We start from the raw sequence: 19,071 nt of genomic DNA on the forward strand, positions 1-19,071 counted from the left end.
TAAAATTAATTTCAGTAAGTGTCATTAAACAACATAGATATAAAGGAAAACAATTACAAAAAATGAACACATTGTTCTTTGAAAGTGGGTACATAGGCAATTGACACAGAGAGTCATCATTACCTTTGTAACTTTTTGCCACACAAATATTTTGTATGAAATTGCAGTTCTCCATGTTAAACACTCGTAGACACATTTTAAATACACATTTTTTTATATTACTATTTAAGGTTTTTAATATGACAATTAATCTTGCTTCCTGGTTGTCAATTTACCTAATCTGGTTTGAATGGATGGCAATGCTCTTTGCAGGGGATAATGTGTATCTAAACTATTTCTAAACATTGCTTAACAGCAGTCAAAGTAGAGAAAGGAGGCTCACAGAGGTATGTTGATTGAAATGAGGAAGAGATTTTTAAACCAGTCTCAGCAAGTTCAGTGTATATTTTTTAACTGCTATCCAAAATGAAGCTGATAGTGCTACATTTTTTTAATGTATCTTCAGTCTTTTATCCGTAGCCAGTTCAAATAACTTATACTGTAAGATTAAATATAAATAATCTTTCAATGAAAGAAAATGATTCCAGATTTTATGCACTTTTGGATAACAGTTTTCAAAATAACCTTAAAACATCGCACATGATAATACAGTCCTATGGCATATGACTAGTACACAACTCAAACTCATCACACAAGTTAGACAAAAACAAGACTGATTTATATCCTGTTCAACAAAATGGTGTCCACATGCTTACATATTGAGCAATGTCAAATTATTGCTATAAAAGTTTCTAAATGCTTACTCTTGATTTCTGTATTTATCCTGTAACAGACTAGTAACAAACCATTCATATCAGTATTGCTCTGCAGACTATGTTTGAATAACACTGCATTAGATATTCCAGCTGAATAAAATATCAAGATTTAAATAGTCATCTTTCGCAAGCATTTTAGCTGAGTCTGTGTGACAGGTGGGCCACAGACAAGCAGGTTGTAATCAACTCTTATCAGTCAATGAGATAAATAACATTAATTTAAACCACAGAGATATGTTTATAATTTTGTTATCTGTGATTGCTGTGTATTTCAGACAGATACAGGAATCTATATATGATATCAATTCACATCCTTTGCAGAAACAGAGAAAGCCCTCTCCATATGTGAGATTTATGTTCATGTTTCTACTTGTTCACATAAATTAAATAATTTTTATTTCACAGGAAAAATGAACTATACATATGCAAGATGGTAAATAATGTTAAAATACAAGAACCTTGCCACTGAAATTAGAATAATCCTCCATACTACTCCCCAAAAGACAGAGGCAATGTATATTAAAGACATTACTAAAACTGTTTATCATTCAACTTTGCAGTAGTCTTATGAGATATTGGTATTTGCTAGTTATTTGAGTAAAAACTGAGGGTGGGAAATTTGTTAGTGCTTTGCCACACACAGTTGTCCAATCTGGAAACCTTTGACTGCTTCCTCTCTCAACCCCTAAATCTAATTGGTTTTGCAATCCTATGTGTTCTACCTTACCGCCATCTCACAAATCTCACCCTTCTGGGTTCCAGCTATCATTGCCTCTGCTCATGCCCTCATTAGCAATCAAGTGGATTTGTGTATTAGGCTCCTGGCTAGCGCCCCCTTCCTTCCTTCCCAGCTCCCTCTAATTCACCTTTTGTAGAACGAGAGTTATCTTTCCAAAATTTAGAAGTGATATGAATCACTTCTATATTTAGAACGTTCAGTAGATTGGCATAACCTTCCTGTAAAATCCAAATTCCTTAACTTTGGATACAAGATCCTTCATACTCTGAACCATCTTCTCCATAATCATTTCCAGAATACCCCATAAAACCAAATTACCTAGCAATTGTCCATCATTCAAATAAATACTACTTCCTGATTCTCATGTATTTCTATATTCTCCTGTGCTTGGCAATGATACTGTGTGCATCTGGACCGGTGAGTTCTTCCCAGGCTTATTTATGAGCATGCAATGAATGTTCATGTGTGTGCACTGTTTGTACAGGAACATGTTGAAGAAGGCAGAGCCAGTCTCTACAAGTCTGTGGTTTCCAACAGCTGCAAGGAGATGTCTTGTTACTCAGACTTTCCATTCCCAGAAGATTATCCAAACTATGTGCCAAATTCTCAATTCCTGGAATATCTCAAAATGTATGCAAACCACTTTGACCTTCTGAAACACATTCAATTCAAGGTAAGACACAAAACATCAGTTAGTAGTCAGAAAGTATTTCCTACCTATTTTCTCTTATCTCTCCAGCCTAGCCCTGGGCTCTGTAGATGAGATACTAAACTGGCAATATTAATGACACCTGGCTGTATTTATTTTCTCCCTATACTCACTCCCCACTTCAAGTAAATCTGGAGGTGGGGGAGGATACTTTGTGTAAAGATTCACAAGTATAAAATTTTAGTTTGCAATACTTATATCCAAGTATCTTAGGGAACCTAAAAAATATCAAGCCACATTTTCAGCTTGGGCCAAATGCCTGCCCACATGGACACTGAGAACCACCAACCCCCTTCCCCAGTCTCCTGTTTGGTTTTTTGTCTGTTTGTTTGTTTTTGAGACAGGGTCTCACTTTGTTGCCCAGGCTGGAGTGCAGTGGCATGATCATGGCTCACTGCAGCCTGGACTTCCTAAGCTCAGGTGATTCTCCCACCTCAGCCTCCCAAGTAGCTGGGAACACAGGTGCACACCACCACACCCAGCTAGCTTTTTATATTTTTTAGCGATGGGGTCTCACCATGTTGGCCATGCAGTCTCAAACACCTGGGCTCAAGCAATCCTCCTGCCTTGGCCTCCCAAAGTGCTGGGATTACAGGCATGAGCCACTGCTCCCAGCTCCCACTCTCTTCTTGACTATTCTTTTATAGGAATGGACACGTGCAGTGGCCCATACACAAGAGAACCTTGCTATGTGAAAGAAATCTTTTCTAGATATTCTTGAGAATAGAAAAATCTTTGAATATTGTTATTCTACAATGCCCCCTTCCTCTCCCATTTCAGAGGCTGGAGACAGGAGGAAGGTAGTAGGACAGGGACAAATGAATAATATATCCTTTTTGTCCTTTTTTTTTCCTTTTTTTCTCTGTTTCCTCTCCAAGAAACATATGAAAATCTATGTTTCCCTTCTCCTTTCTCCCTCCCCTGTCAGAGGTAAGGATGATGAGGAATTCACAGAGAATTATACACAGAAAACAACACAAATGGAGACATTGACCAAAACAAGTGGAAAATAAAATTTGCATTCACATTCACGACCTTAAAAGTCCTCTGATATGGTTTGGCTGTGTCGCCATCCAAATCTCATCTTGAATTTCCACATGTTGTGGGAGGGACTCAGTGGGAGGTAATTGAACCATGGGGGCAGGTCTTTCCCATGCTGTTCTCCTGATAGTGAATAAGTCTCATGAGATCTGATGGTTTTATAAGGCGGAGCTTCCCTGCACAAGCTCTCTCTCTGCTTGCTGCCATGCACGTAAGATGTGATTTGCTCTTCTTTATCTTCCACCATGATTGTGAGGCTTCCCCAGCCACAAGGAACTGTGAGTTCTCCATTAAACCTCTTTCCTTTGTAAATTGCCAGGTCTCTGGTATGTCTTTATCAGCAGCATGAAAATCAATACAGTAAATTGGTACCAGTAGAGTGGGGAGCTGGTGAAAAGATATCAAAAAATGTAGAAGTGACTTTGGAACTGTGGAAACGTCAGAGGTTAGAACAGTTTGGAGGGCTCAGAAGAAGAAAGGAAAATGTAGGAAACTTTGGAACTTCCTAGAGACTTGTTGAATGGCTTTGACAAAAATGCTGATAGTGATATGAACAATAAAGTCCAGGCTGAGATGGTCTCAGATGGAGAGGAGGAACTTGCTGGGAACTGGAGCAAAGGTGACTCTTGTTTGGTTTTTTGTTTTAAAAAAAACCTCTGCAATTATTAGTTTATTAGTATCATCCGGGACTTAGATGTTCAGTATTCCTCCTGAAATTACATAAACAAATGCAAATGGAAAGAATCCAAGTCAAAATTATATAACAAAACAGCACTCCATCACAAAAGCGTGTAAAATTACAATAACACTATTTTAAAATACTGGCATCTTAAGAAAACGATAATCTTGAAAATCACAAAATTGCCAAATTGTTCCCTAAACTGCTAAGCAGATAATCATGACTAATGAGTGAGTTTGTTTTGTAAAGAAAAATCATTCAAATAAATTGAATAATTCATACTGAGATGCAAAATTTAAGTGTCTTCTTTCCTCCTATTTGGATTTATGAGGGGGCAAACCATAATATAGGAAAATATACGCTATTTTGAATGTGGCATCTTTGTTTTAAAAGCTGGCCCAATTAATTAAAAATACTTTTAATGGAAAGTCTCATTTCCTGAGCAGTCCATATTTAGATAAATGGGAAAAGACATCTATAGCCAGCATTTTCATAGTCTTCACTGAGACTAATGTCAACAAAAAATTTAATATGGCAGTCCTGCATTTTAAGCTCACGCTTTTGGGGATACATTCTCAGGTCTTCTTTAATGTGGGAACTGCAAAATATAACTGCCATTACATGGTAATGGGAGTTAAAGAATAGAGTCCTCATGTAAAAATTACAACATACTTTTCTATTAGTCCTTCAAGGACTAATTTCAAAATGTTGGATTCTAGTAATCCCATGCTTTGAGTAGATTGATTACTCTTCAGTTTGTAAATGTAAGTGGGCTATGTGAAATTTCTTAACTGATCAAGATTTTGGATGTTCAGTTATGGATGAAAACTATCTCAACTTAACTTTACCCCCATATGATATGCAGGGTGTGTAGACAAAAGCTTTTTATTAGCTAACTATATGAAAGGATAAACACTGTAATAATTCATGTGATTCAAAATGGGCAAAAGCAAAGACTAGCTTCCCCTCCAAAAGAAAAATTTCAGACCTATGAAAAGGACAACAATACTAATAAAAAATTTGTATTTACTTAGAAGCATTCAGAATGTAAACAAAACAGCTGCAACTTTTTTTTTTTTGCAATTACAGAGTGGTATTCAGTTAACAGAACAACAATTATTTCCTATAAGCTGCATCAGAGACAGCTGAAGATGAAAAAACTACCATCCCCATATATAACTAATTTGTGCTGTGCACCAACAAGAACATGCTTTAAATTTCCATGCCAATTTACAACCCGCATACTGCACCAGGCAAGGTTAGTGGCTATTGAAAACACCACCAGGAGAGGGCTATCTAAAGACACATTCGGTAGTGTGTTAACTTTATAAAAAAAGACACTGTACAGTTTAAAAACAAATCCTACACAGACTTACATTTCCATTTTTTTCTTTAAAAGGAGTGACTTGTGAACAGTAGGGTTAAATGCTTTATAGACGAGAAAAAAAACCGCTAGAACCAACTTATTCATCATCTTCTTCATCTTCATCTTCTTCATCTACCTCCTCATCATAATCTTCTTCATCTTCCTCATCTTCCTCCTCTTCCTTCTTTTTCTTGCTTTTTTCAGCCTTGATAAATCCCTTTTTTGCTGCATCAGGCTTCCCTTTAGCTCAATATGCAGCAATATCCTTTTTGTATTTTTCCTTTAGCTTTGCAGCCTTCTTTTCACAAGGCTGCTTGTCTTCTGCAGCAGTGTTATTCCACATCTCTCCCAGTTTCTTCACGACATCACTAATGGGCAGGCCAAGTTGTTCTCCTTTAATTTTTGGGTGATACTCAGAGCAGAACAGGAAAAAGGCTGAAGGAGGCCTCTTGGGTGCATTGGGATCCTTGAACTTCTTTTTTGTCTCCCCTTTGGGAGGGATTTAGGTTTTCACTTCTCTTTCATAATGGGCCTTGTCACCTTTGCCATATCTTCAAATTGTCCTTTCTCTTTAGCAGACATGGTCTTCCACCTCTCTGAGCCTTTCTTAGAAAACTCTGAGAAGTTGACTGAAGCATCTGGGTGCTGCTTCTTATGCTCTTCCCGACAAGTTTGCACAAAAAATGCATATGATGACATTTTGCCTCTTGGCTTCTTAGAATCTCCTTTGCCAATGTTTAGTTATTTTTCCCCAGTGAGGCACAGAGTTGCCCAGTGCCCATCTGGCTCTCACTTGCCCCAGTGCTGTCTCTATGGAGCTCAATGTACTGCCTCTTCTTATGTTCTAGCAATGAGACTGGAGATTTATGGAACTTTGAACTTGAGAGATGATTTAGGGTATCTGGCAGAAGAAATTTCTAAGCAGCAAAGCAATAAAGAGGTGACTTGGGTGCTGTTAAAGGCATTCAGTTTTAAAAGGGAATCAGCATAAAAGTTCAGAAAATCTGCAGCCTGACAATGCAATAGAAAAGAAAATCTTATTTTCTGGAGAAGAAATCCAAGCCAACTGCAGAAATTTGCATAAATAACAAGGAGCCAAATGTTAATTCCCAAAACAATGGGGAAAATGTCTCCAGGGCATGTCAGAGGTGTTCACCACAGCCCTTCCCATCACAGGCCTGGAGGCCTAGGAAGAAAAAGTGGTTTCATGGGCCAGGCCCAGAGCCCCCATGCTGTGTGCAGCCAAGGGACTTGGTGCCCTGCATCCCAGCTGCTCCAGCTGTGGCTAAAAGGGGCCAACATAGAGCTCAGGCAGTGGCTTTAGAGGGTGCAAACCCCAAGACCTGGCAGCCTCCACATTGTATTGAGCCTGCAATACACAGAAGTCAAGAATTGAGGTTTGGGAACCTTCACCTAGATTTCACAGGATGTATGGAAATGCCTGGATGTGCAGGCAGAAGTTTGCTGCAGGGGCAGGGATCTCATGGAAAACCTCTGCTAGGGCAGTGCAGAAGGGAAATGTGGGGTCAGAGTCCCCACACAGAGTCTCTACTGGGGCTCTGCCTAGTGGAGCTGTGAGAAGAGGGCCACCATCCTTCAGACCCCAGAATGTTAGATCCACTGTCAGCTTGCATGTGCCTGGAAAAGCTGCAGACACTCAATGCCAGCCTGTGAAAGCAGCCAGGAGGGAAGCTGTACCCTGCAAAGCCACAGGAGCAGAGCTGCCCAAGACCATGGGAACCCACCTCTTGCAACAGTGTGACCTGGATGTGAGACATGGAGTCAAAGGAGTTCATTTTGGAGCTTTAAGATTTGACTGCCCTGCTGGATTTCGGACTTGCATGGGGCCTGTAGCCCCTTTGTTTTGACCAATTTCTCCCATTTGGAATGGCTGTATTTACCCAATGCCTGTACCCCCACTGTTTCTAGGAAGTAACTAACCAACTTTTGATTTTACAGGCTCATAGGTGGAAGGGACTTGCCATGTCTCAGTTGAGACTTTGGACTGTGGACTTTTGAGTTAATGCTGAAATGAGTTAAGACCTTGGGGGGGAACTGTTGGGAAGGCATAATTGCTTTTGAAATGTGAGGACATGAGATTTGGGATGGGCCAGGGGTAGAGTAATATGGTTTGTCTGTGTCCCCACTCAAATGTCATCTTGAATTCTCACATGTTGTGAGAGGGGTCCAGTGGGAGGTAACCGAATCATGAGGGTAGGTCTTTCCCATGCTGTTCTAGTGATAGTGAATAAGTCTCACAAGATCTGATGGTTTTATAAGGCAGAATTTCCCTGCACAAGCTCTCTTTTTGCCTGACATCATCCATGTAAGATATGACTTGCTCCTCTTTGCTCCTGCCATGATTGTGATGCTTCCCCAGCCACATGGAACTGTGAGTTCTCCATTAGACCTTTTTCCTTTGTAAATTGCCCAGTCTCTAGTCTGTCTTTATCAGCAGTGTGAAAATGGACTAATACATCCTCCTAAACAGATTTCCAAAGAGTATTTTATTCCACTTCCTTATTTTGCAATGGACACAGTAAAAATAAAGCATTATCATAATGAATATATACAACATATAAAAATCTTCTTTTTAATGCATCAAAATTTCTGAATTTGAAGCATTTCCTTTACCACATGCTGCCCAAGACCTTTTTTATTTTGTTGTTGTTGTTTGAAACAAAGTTTCTGTCACCCAGGCTGGAGTACAGTGGCAGGATCTTATCTCACTGCAGCCTCCACCTCCTAGGCTCAAGAAATCCTCCCACTTCAGCCTCCCCACTATTAATAGCTGGGACTATAGGCACATACTACCATGCCTGGCTATATTTTTTTTAATTTTTAGTAGAGATAAGGTCTCACTATGCCGCCCAGGGTGGTCTTGAACTCCTGAGCTCAAGCTATCCTCCTGCCTTGGCCTCCCAAAGGGTGGGGATTATAGGCATGAGCCACTGTTGCCAGGCACAAGGCCATTTTAGAACAATTTTTAAAAAGCTAGATGTTCACCAAAGTTTTAAAAAGTAAACACAAGGCCAGGTGCAGTGGCCCACACCTGTAATCCCAGCACTTTGGGGGGCCAAGGTGGGTGGATCAAGACCATCCTGGCTAACACGGCGAAACCCCATCTCTACTAAAAATACAAAAAATTAGCCAGCCATGGTGGCATGGGCCTGTAGTCTCAGCTACTCAGAAGGCTGAGGCAGGAGAATCTCTTGAACCAGGGAAGCGGAGATTGCGGTGAGCCGAGATTGCACCACTGCACTCCAGCCTGGGCAACAGAGCGAGACTCCATCTCAAAAAAAAAAAAAAAAAAGTAAACACAAATAGCTATTACTCAGCTGTGATCTGTAGTTGATTTTGTTTGGTTTTGCTTCTCATTCCTCTGTATATATTCCAAATTTTTAATGACAAGCTTTTTTTTTTTTGAGACAAGGTCTCACTCTGTTGCCCAGGCTGGAGTGCAATGACACTATCATGGCTCACTGAAGCCTTGACTTCCCAAGCACAGGTGATTCTCCCAAATCAGCCTCCTGAGTAGCTGGGACTACAGGCATGGGCCACCACACCTGGGTAATTTTTTGTATTTTTTTTGTAAAGATGGGATTTTGCCATGTTGCCCAGGCTACATATTTATTATTTTTATGATTAAAAATAAATCTATTTTGAAAGATTTTAAACTAACTGAAAATTTACTTTTAGAAAAGACAGTTGCACTACAAATGTAGAAACACAATAAGCACTTCAAATAGTATAAATCAAATAGCGAACCCATTAAGAGGGACTTAAGAAGCCTATATTCTTTAAAAACTTTAAAAAAGAAAGAAAGATAGCAAGCCACTTGGTGAGTGAATAATTTATCCTTTTAAATTTGACTTGTCTGAGATTTATTGTACATATATTTCCTGAACCAAAGCCTGGTAATCATGGACATGTATGTACTCACTAAGAGCAAAAAATAGATTCTTTGAAATGTGGACTACTCTCAAAAAAATTCAGGCCATAATGTTAGCACTTTTCAATTGCTTTCTAGTTCTGGAAAAACTTCAGCAACATATTCTATAAAACCTCATAAGCTAATATACACAGGACCAAATTCAGGTTTTCAATTATATCTTACCCATGTATCTGTCAAAGAAATTTTTGTTAAAGAGACAGCCCTGTGAGAAATGAGGTTGCATAACAGAAAGGATAATGAAAAAGGCATCAGAAACTTAGGTTCTAATTCTGATTCTGTCACTTTCTGTGAGAATTTGAGCAAATCACTTAAAATTTTTGGATGCCACCACTTGTCTTAGATATCTCTCCAAGCTTAGACTACCTCCATCTAGGGAATCATGATTAGTCCGGTAACCTGATTAGGTTTCTAGGGTTATACTTATTAATTATGTTTATTCTGTGTTCTAGAACTTTTAAAATATCAATGGTACATCAACTGGCAAGTGCTTAATGGAACATTGACAACTGCTAATCATATCTGTGATTCTTTTTTCAGACCAAAGTCTGCAGTGTAACAAAATGCTCAGATTCTGCTGTCTCTGGCCAATGGGAGGTGGTCACTATGCATGAAGAGAAGCAAGAGTCAGCCATCTTTGATGCTGTCATGGTCTGCACTGGCTTTCTTACTAATCCTTATTTGCCACTGGATTCCTTTCCAGGTACAGCATTTTCTGTAACTAACTTTAAGTTTTCTCGTGGGAGCCATTCTGATGCTTGATTGGTCTGGGAATGAATTCCTATGGCTGTTCCATTAAATAGTTAAAGTTGGGAGGTAGGAGGAGGCTTTTTTTGTTTTGTTTTGTTTTTTTCTAGCCAGCATTTTCTGGCCAGTTTTTGGCTTTCATTTGTTCCAAACAATCTGTGAATACATAAGAGCAAAATGGATAACTTTATAAGTATTTTTATGCTTTACCAAGATTCAATGTCCCTCAAGTGACTGGTAGCACTCAGAAAGTCTTCTGAGACATGGGATGCTTACACAAGTCATTAACTTCAGCAGCAGGTACACATTGCCAAAGTTGAGTTTAGAGGCCACAAAAGTCAATCTGTGAAAAAAGAAAAAAGTAATTTTTTCTATTTGTTCCTCTTATGTGAGTGATAGCAATTAGATTAGAGGTTTACGGCACTGGTCAATAGTCAAGAGGGAGATTAGTCTTGGGAGACAACTTAAGACATCTTTGGGTCTCAGTTTTCTTATCGGCCTTTTGCAACCATAGTCATGTTAATCTATGCCAAATTTTAACTGGATTTTAACTCAATGGAACAGAAAATGAAATGGTTTGGTTTATTTCATCTGTAACAAGCATTCAAAAAGTTAAAACTTTCAGAAACTTTTCTCCAAATCATCTAATGATTGCCTAGAATGATCCCAAGACTCATCTTACCACAATAAATTTAGGAGCATGCTATGGTTCTGGATCTGCCCCCAGAGGTCACTCAGATCAGGTTAGATTAGGATAAAGCATATCCTGAAAATTGCCAGAGAATAGAATCATTGAATTGGAAAGAACCAAGTTCAGTCTTCTTCCCAATGCAGGAAATTATTTTTCAGCAATTCTGAGAGAGGCTCCATAGCCTCTTCTTGAACCCATTCAACAATGGAATCTCATCATCACAGAAGACAACCCAATTTTTTGTCATTCTTGCCTGCAGAGCAAGGCTCTGAGCAGCCATCCACTCCAAAATTCCAGAAAGGAGTACCTAGTCACTGCAAGAATCCAGAAAGTTCCATGGCATAGGGAGTAAACTACATTCATTCAGCACTTACAGTATATTGCACTAGGTGCTAAGAATATAGAGGTGAATAAGGCAACATGTAACCTGTATTGGAGGAATGAATAGAGTTTTATGGAGTCCAGTGGAGAAATCACAGTCTGCATATGACCTGTAGTGATTCCAATACCCTAAACATACACCTCTCATGGTCCTGGATTTGCCCCCCAAAGTCACACAAGTTTACATCAGATTAAAATAATAAAGCATACCTGAAAGCAATTGAGCCAATATGCTCAGTTTGAGTAGAAGAGGTAGGGACCCAGCAGCTATGAATTCTAGCATATACAACCACCTAGCTGATAGTCTTGAGTCGCCCACTTAACTTTTCTAAGCCTCAAATTTACCCACAAATTGAAGAGCTTGGATTACTTTAACCAACAGTACACATCACAAATCAAGCAAGAAGAGCTCTACAAGGCTTGCAGTCTTTCTTAAAACCCATCTTATCTACCACTGTCAATTTAAAATCCCTGGCTAAATGATTAAGGAGTCTTTGAGCTCTAAAATTCTGTGATTTTAGAGTTGAAGAGCAGTTCTCCCAACCTCTCTATCTCCTGACTTACAGCAGACTTGCTTAGATGGCACACACTCCTTGCGATGGTTGTTAACTGTCAAATAAAATTCAAATTCACTGAAGGTATTTAAAAATATGTATCACAAGCTCTAGAAGCAATTCCAGAGAAGGTGCACTAAAAAGTCGTAGTAAAAATAATAGGTATCACAGTTAGAATAAACGTATGATTTCCCAAGATGACTACTTTTATCATTCACATATATACATTCTGCTATTTACCTTTTTTCTTTTTTATATTATAAATTTTTTTCTTAGATAGGACATTCTGCTACTTACTAACACAGCCACATTTACCTAATATAAGTTCTTACTCTGTCTTTCTGTGAGATAAGAGAAAGTATTAGTCTGTTAAGAGACAGCCACAGAGTCTCATTTTTGTCCATTTGTGACCCCCCAAAACAAAGCCTATCCAAAGAGAATCTAAAACAACATGAGATCCAGAGATAACTGTATTTTCTGCTTAGGCTTTCCACCTCTTTCTTCGCAACAGTTCTCTGATCCATATTGGGTTCCTGTGCTGAGTAAATATTGGAACTTGGTTGCATCCTTGCTAAATTCCAAATGCTCTGTGTTGTGGTTAGGTTTTAACTTGGATTCGTGTTAGATTTCTACTAATTCAAGGTGAGCTAAAGAGCCAGCAGGCCTTGTAATGCCACTCCCCACAAGTATATACATTTTTCCCCTGAGAATGTAGAGGTCTTATTACTTTTTTTAGGAAAAAAGAAGTTCTTTGTTTAGCACATATTACTTCTGATTATGTAATGTTGTCTTAAGAGTATTTTCTGCTTAAGTTATTGCTGTTAAAAAAGAAAAAGAGTATTTTCAAACCTTCTCCATTCATGTGATGTTTCAATAAGATTCAGCATCACTGCCTAAGGTATCCTATCAAGTTAGCCCAGTTGATTGAATCCTGGTGTAACTGACATCACTCCTTTTTCTCTGAGCCAACTCTGGCCAACCCAGCAAACTCAGCCTGAGTTACAGTCAGTCACCAAGTGAACTTCTCCAACTAACATGAAACTTTGTGAATAGGGACAACATTTTATTTATCTTATTCCCCCCATACCATCTAGCACAGTACCAGGCACAAAGCAGAGATCAAAAAGTTTTCTGAAAAGAGATACTGACTCACAGTTCCCTTAAGCTTCTTGCTTATGAAAAGCTTATATAAATCAAGTATTAATCAATAGAACATTATTGTCCTGTTGACTTTTATCAACCTTTAAAATGATAATGACTCCTTATACTTTTGCTTAATATATCTTTATGCCATAATATTTCAGCTCAGTAGTTAACTATCTAGTAAGTAAAACTGGAGGCCTATCTAGTGAGATGGAGTAATAACCCCCCTTAAATAATTACCTGCCAATGTCTTGTAAAGTCATGTATTCATATTTTCTCAAACTTGAGAATACTAGTAAAAATGACCAAAATCATCTGTCAAAAGAATGTTATCAACTGAAGAATATTTATGTTTCATTCACTGATCCTGTTAATTCTCTGTGTGACTTCTCTTTTATTTTCTATAGGTATTAATGCCTTTAAAGGCCAGTACTTTCATAGCCGGCAATATAAGCATCCAGATATATTTAAGGACAAGAGAGTCCTTGTGATTGGAATGGGAAATTCTGGCACAGACATTGCTGTGGAGGCCAGCCACCTGGCGGAAAAGGTACATTCCTGATGTTACTGGGTGAAGAGCTTTATCTTAAGATGCATGCCTCAAGCAAATGGTGTTTGACACCATGATAAATGTTAAAGGAATAAAATGTCTCACATGCAAACAACAGATTACTAAGGAATTTAATTTTTACTGAATGTTCACAAATTTTTCTATGAATTGCAGTTGTCATCTTCCCTCCAAAACCAACTTCTCTGACTTCTTTTTACTTTTTTTTTTTTTTTTGTCATTTTCCCAGCCATCCAACAAGAGCTACAGGACATGTTTCTTCCCTACTCAGTCCCATAGGTCAGAAAATTCTACCAACTTTTTCCTGCTACTATCTCCCATTTGCCCATTCCTCTCCTTATTAATTACCAACACCCTCATCAGGTCCATGCTACCTCACACTGAGGATATTGCATTGTCCTCCTAATAATAGTTGTAGAAATAGTTAATATTTATTAGGATTATTCTGTGGCCGGCACTGCACTAAATGTGTTTTTACTGCACTACTTTATCCAGTCATCAAAACAAGCCACTGAAGTAGGTACTGTTAGTATCCTTGACTGCACATGAGGAAACCAAGGCTTAGAGAAGTTAAAGAACCTGCCTGAAATCTTACCACTAGCATGTGGCAGAGCCAGTTCTCAAACCCAAGTCTCTTTGACTCAAAGCCTACGTTCCTAACTATCCTCTTCTACCTCCTACCTTCAGGCTTCTCAAGGGTTTTGCCCTGCATTTTATTTTTGCCTTGTACCACTACCCAAGGTCACTGCCACCCACAACAAGCCATCTAGACCCCAACTACCAACAAACAAATCCTCAGAAGAGCCTGCTCTCATTATAGCACTCTCATGCTGAAAAACCTCTAATTATTCTCTTTACCTGAAAAAAATAAATTGCAGACGTAGTAGCTCTGCATCAGAGAGTTTTCTATAATCTGAACCAAATCTGCCATTTTAATTTTAACTTCTGTTTCTTGCATGATAATCAACTGTAGCATTTTCCAGTTCCTGTCTTTAGTTCCCCTTTGCTCACGCTACCCCTCTCTCTTCTTCAGAGCCCCTTTCTCTTCTATTACAATCTACCTTTACCTTCCCAGATATCTCACTCCAACACGAAGTGATCTCTCCCTATTCAGAATGTAAGTAATATTGTAATTTGCACCCCTCAGTTTTCACTTTTAAATTCTTAATATTGCAAATTACCTTTCATCATATATAGTTTCTTTTCAACTATGCTGTAAACTCATTGAGGGCCATTCAGCTAACTAATATATACTAGTTGCTGGCTCCCCAGTTTGGTGGGGGAAGAAACAATCTGTTAAATCAGCTGTTTTGTATCAGCAAAGCAACAGATTGCTTAACTAATTATTTTCTTTGTAAACAATTGTACAGGAAACTCCTTATTAAGTACTAAAACTATTAGCTTTGTGAATTCGGTCAACTGGTAAATTCAAACAGCCAATGTTAAAAAGAACAAATACCAAAAGTAATTGTAGTACTGAATTTTGCTGTCATTTAAGCCAATGGTTTGCACTGAAACTCTGTAGACAACTCTGATACTGCCATTCCCTGTTCTTACTGCCTACAATGATAGTGAGCACACCAAGTAGCAATCACCTGTTCATTGTTTTCTTACATAGACTTTAGGTCCCTATGGTTTACTAAAGGCTGGCAGATAATAAGTATTCAATAATATGTCTTAAGGCATTTTAATACTCTAGATGCTCTGAATCCTAATCTCAAAAGGATTAACTTTAAAATAGAAGTTAGAAGAACCAAGACTATCTTGTCAGGGGTGTATTTTGAGAGTGGCAGACTTTTCAGTGCCTTTCCATTCATGACACTTCTTGAATCTCTGGCAGAACCAGCCAGCCGTGTTCACAGTGTCAAATGAAGGGATGTCTTTGATTGCTTCCAGGTGTTCCTCAGCACCACCGGAGGGGGATGGGTGATCAGCCGAATCTTTGACTCGGGCTACCCATGGGACATGGTGTTCATGACACGCTTTCAGAACATGTTGAGAAATTCCCTCCCAACCCCAATTGTGACTTGGTTGATGGAGCGAAAGATAAACAACTGGCTCAATCATGCAAATTACGGCTTAATACCAGAAGACAGGTAAATATAATGTGACTGCCAAGGGCTTTTAGGAAGAAGGAGCCTCTGCCTGTCCAGCAGCCTATACAAGCCAGGCAGTACCACAGCAACATGGCTGAATGTGTGGGAACACTTGATACAAATTTGCTTGATAATAACAGCTAACTGTTCTTAAGTACTCAGAAAGTGAAATTATGTATTTCACCTTGTCAGCAACACTTTACGTATTATTATAATAATCCTTTTATTATGGAGAAACTGAAACAGCAAAATTCAGCCATTTACCCAAGCTCACTGAGTAGTAAGTGAACTCTGTGACCTTGGCAAGTTACTTGATCCTCAGCTGTAGCAACCAAAAGAGAATGATTTGTCTATGACTTTGTTGATAAAAGAAACACACTTGCCCAGTTTCACTGTGTGGGAAAAACTGAATCCCATAGTTGCCCCTCACCATCTCTCTAATGGTAGAGCCTTCTTCCCGTTGTCAAGATTGACCTTGGCCCAAAAAATGGCTCAGCTTATACAAGATCAGCTCACAAAGTGTTTGTCTTGTGATTCCAAAGGTATAGCCAGAAAAAGACAATTCTGCCCTTGTTCCTTTAAATACATGCATGTTTCCCTTATAAAACTTTTTCCTAGGAAGAGACTAGAGCTTTCAGAAGTTCTCAGCCACTCTAGAAGTCCCTGGTTTCCCTTGTAGCCCTTCAGCTCTCAGCCCCACTCTAGAATGACAGTGACAGATGAATGCTAAAAATCAGCAAGAGAAACAGAAGCTAGAGAAGGTGCTGGCTTCCTCTTCAGGCTTCCAAACTCTAGTAAATGGCAAGCATATTTTATAATCCTTCCTGAACATTCATGAATCCCCTTCCACTGAAGTAACATCTCCCAAGACTTGCAGCAATTCTTGTCCAACCAAGGAGAGAGCCCCAGAATGAGAGAGGGAGGTAAAGAGAAGGGAGAGCTGGCTGAATTGTTCACTGACAAGTCTCCTCCCTGTTCATGTTTTTGTTTAGGACTCAGCTGAAAGAGTTTGTGCTAAATGATGAGCTCCCAGGACGCATCATCACTGGGAAAGTGTTCATCAGGCCAAGCATAAAAGAGGTAAAGGAAAACTCTGTCATATTTAACAATACTTCAAAGGAAGAGCCTATTGACATCATTGTCTTTGCCACTGGATACACATTTGCTTTCCCCTTCCTTGATGAGTCTGTAGTGAAAGTTGAAGATGGCCAGGCCTCACTGTACAAGTATATCTTCCCTGCACATCTGCAAAAGCCAACCCTGGCCATTATTGGCCTCATCAAACCCTTGGGCTCCATGATACCTACAGGAGAAACACAAGCTCGGTGGGCTGTTCGAGTCCTGAAAGGTAAGTATAAGAAATAGCAGGGCATGTGTTTTTGGTGTGCCATGTGATTCTGGATACTGGAAATGTTGAGACTATTATTCCTCCTGCTTCTATTTAAAATAACAGAATCTTTAAAAGCAGGATGCATTCTATTGTTTGCTGAATTATACTGTCATAATGATTTGTTCCATTACTGCATAAATGGTATATCAGGGTCAAAAATATATATATTTTTTTGATATACCAAAAATATAACAGTTGACATAGGCTGTATCTATGTCAACTGTGATATTTTTTCTTTTTTATTTTTAAGACACAGGGTCTCACTATCTCGTCCAGACTAGTGTGCAGTGGCTATTTATAGGCATGATCATAGATTACTGCAGCCTCAAACTCCTGGTCTCAAGCAATCCTCCTACCTCAGTCTCCTGAGTAGTGGAGACTACAGACATGCACACTGCACACAGCTACCTGTTATTTTGACTAAAACAAAATGACAGTTAACATTTCTGTCAGTTGACTGAATCAACTGGCTCAATTAAAATTTTTAAACTCAAGCAAATGAGTGACAACATTCAGCCAAACTAGTTGTGAGATTCTGCTATATCAAATAATTAGTGAGATGACCAGATGCTTATCTTTTCAGCTGACGGCATTATTACCAGGAGCATACAACCAGTCAGCTCAGGCTGCTAACATTTTTGCCAGAAGGATCAATGAGTAGCTGGTACTAGACGTGAAAGGAGAGCCATAGTAAAGCATCTTTATCCATAAGTCAACAGCTAGACCTAAACTTAAGTTGCATTTGAGGTTTTTATTTTAATCCTACAGGTGTAAATAAGTTACCACCACCAAGTGTCATGATAGAGGAAATTAATGCAAGGAAAGAAAACAAGCCCAGTTGGTAAGTTAACTACTTAATGCACCCTTTTTAAATTATAACTGAAATTGGTAAAAAAAAAAAAAAAAAAAAAAAAAAAAAAAAGGAAATGAAAAAGAAAAAAAAACAATAGCAGAGAGATGAAAGTTACATTGGAGAAAAAAAGAAGCATCTGAGACTTACAAGAAAAATACTAGGAGAGCCTGTTTAAGAAGAGAGAAGGGAAAGGGGAATTTAGAATTTTTAATGTCCCCAAAGTCATCACTTCAGCCCATGGTTTTCTAGTATCACATAGAGTTTGGATTCCAAATCAAGTACTACATAATTAACCCTAATCTACCAGGTACATTATTCCATATCTTATCCATAATCAACAGGCAAGCAGTTGTACCTATTTACTCTGACACTAGAAGTGTCTGCTCATTCATTCACTGAACAAGTCTCTATCAGCTCTATTGTTTTTATTCGGAGTGTGGCTTTTGCTCTTCATTTATAATTGGCTGGAAAAAAGGAAGAAGAAAAACAAAATTTTGTAGCATGTGAAAAAATCATATGAAATGGAAACCATACTGGCCATAAATAAAATTTTATTAGAACACAGCCATGGTTATTCATTTACATATTGTCAATGGCTGTTTTTGTGTTACAGTACCAAAGTTGTTTAGCAGTTGAGATAGAAACTGTAATGTGGCTCTCAAAGCCTGAACATTTACTGTCTGGCCTTTTTCAGAATAAAGTTTATTGAGCACTTCTCTATGGGAAAGGTTTTCACTTATGCTGTGCTCTGTGGCTACCACTCAAGGCTAGAGACAATGGAAGACTGATGGCCAGCAAAGTAAAGAGTCTTGGCCCTCCCCTCTCACTCTCAATCCAACCAAAACATTTCTGATTGTTTTGTGGTTTGATAAAACCACTTTGTTTTATCTGTTCATCTGTTTCTGCGTTTGATATACATTTTCACTTGAAATAAAGGTTCTGTGGCAAAAAAAAAAAAACAAAAAACAGCAAGTTTTAAAATCATTGCATCTAAGGAACTTATTATCACTCTCTTGTTCATATATATTCCCAAACTTCAAGGGTTGATCTATCCTTGTCAAGGTACCAAATTCCAAAACAATAATAGCATTTTAGATGTCTCTTCTTTATCCTCAACCTGGGATATGATTTGATCTTCATTATGGAACTCCAGTGTAATAGATAACTAATTAGAACTGCTATAAAATGAAAATCTTCTTGTCACGCATGTCAGCAAACAATTTTAGGGGCCAGGTGCAGTGGATCATGCCTGTAATCCCAGCACTTTGGGAGGCTAAGGCAAGAGGATCATTTGAGCTCAGGACTTTGAGACCAGCCTGGATGACATAGCAAGCCCCCATCCCTACA

The 19,071-nt window shown here is 38.7% G+C and overlaps 1 protein-coding gene and 1 pseudogene across 8 annotated transcripts in view; one reads left to right on the forward strand and one right to left on the reverse strand.

The window, feature by feature from the left end:
* FMO1 (flavin containing dimethylaniline monoxygenase 1) overlaps positions 1-19,071 on the forward strand; it is a 37,485-nt gene that overhangs the window by 17,011 nt on the left and 1,403 nt on the right. For 3 of the 8 annotated variants that reach the window (NM_001282693.2, NM_002021.3, NM_001282692.1), the window contains 6 exons: positions 2,039-2,227; positions 9,842-10,004; positions 13,225-13,367; positions 15,282-15,481; positions 16,474-16,829; positions 17,640-17,712. In NM_001282693.2, coding sequence (NP_001269622.1) covers positions 2,039-2,227; positions 9,842-10,004; positions 13,225-13,367; positions 15,282-15,481; positions 16,474-16,829; positions 17,640-17,712 — 1,124 coding nt within the window. Of the gene's footprint in view, positions 1-2,038; positions 2,228-3,491; positions 3,583-9,841; positions 10,005-13,224; positions 13,368-15,281; positions 15,482-16,473; positions 16,830-17,639; positions 17,713-18,418; positions 18,994-19,071 lie in introns of those variants that run through there. The other 5 variants (XM_006711241.5, XM_006711242.5, XM_005245037.4 and 2 more) reach the window with 5 other exon arrangements.
* On the reverse strand, positions 5,459-6,084 carry HMGB1P11 (high mobility group box 1 pseudogene 11; annotated as a pseudogene).

The sequence above is a fragment of the Homo sapiens genome, chromosome 1 (assembly GCF_000001405.40).
Source record: "Homo sapiens chromosome 1, GRCh38.p14 Primary Assembly".
Classification (NCBI taxonomy): domain Eukaryota; kingdom Metazoa; phylum Chordata; class Mammalia; order Primates; family Hominidae; genus Homo; species Homo sapiens.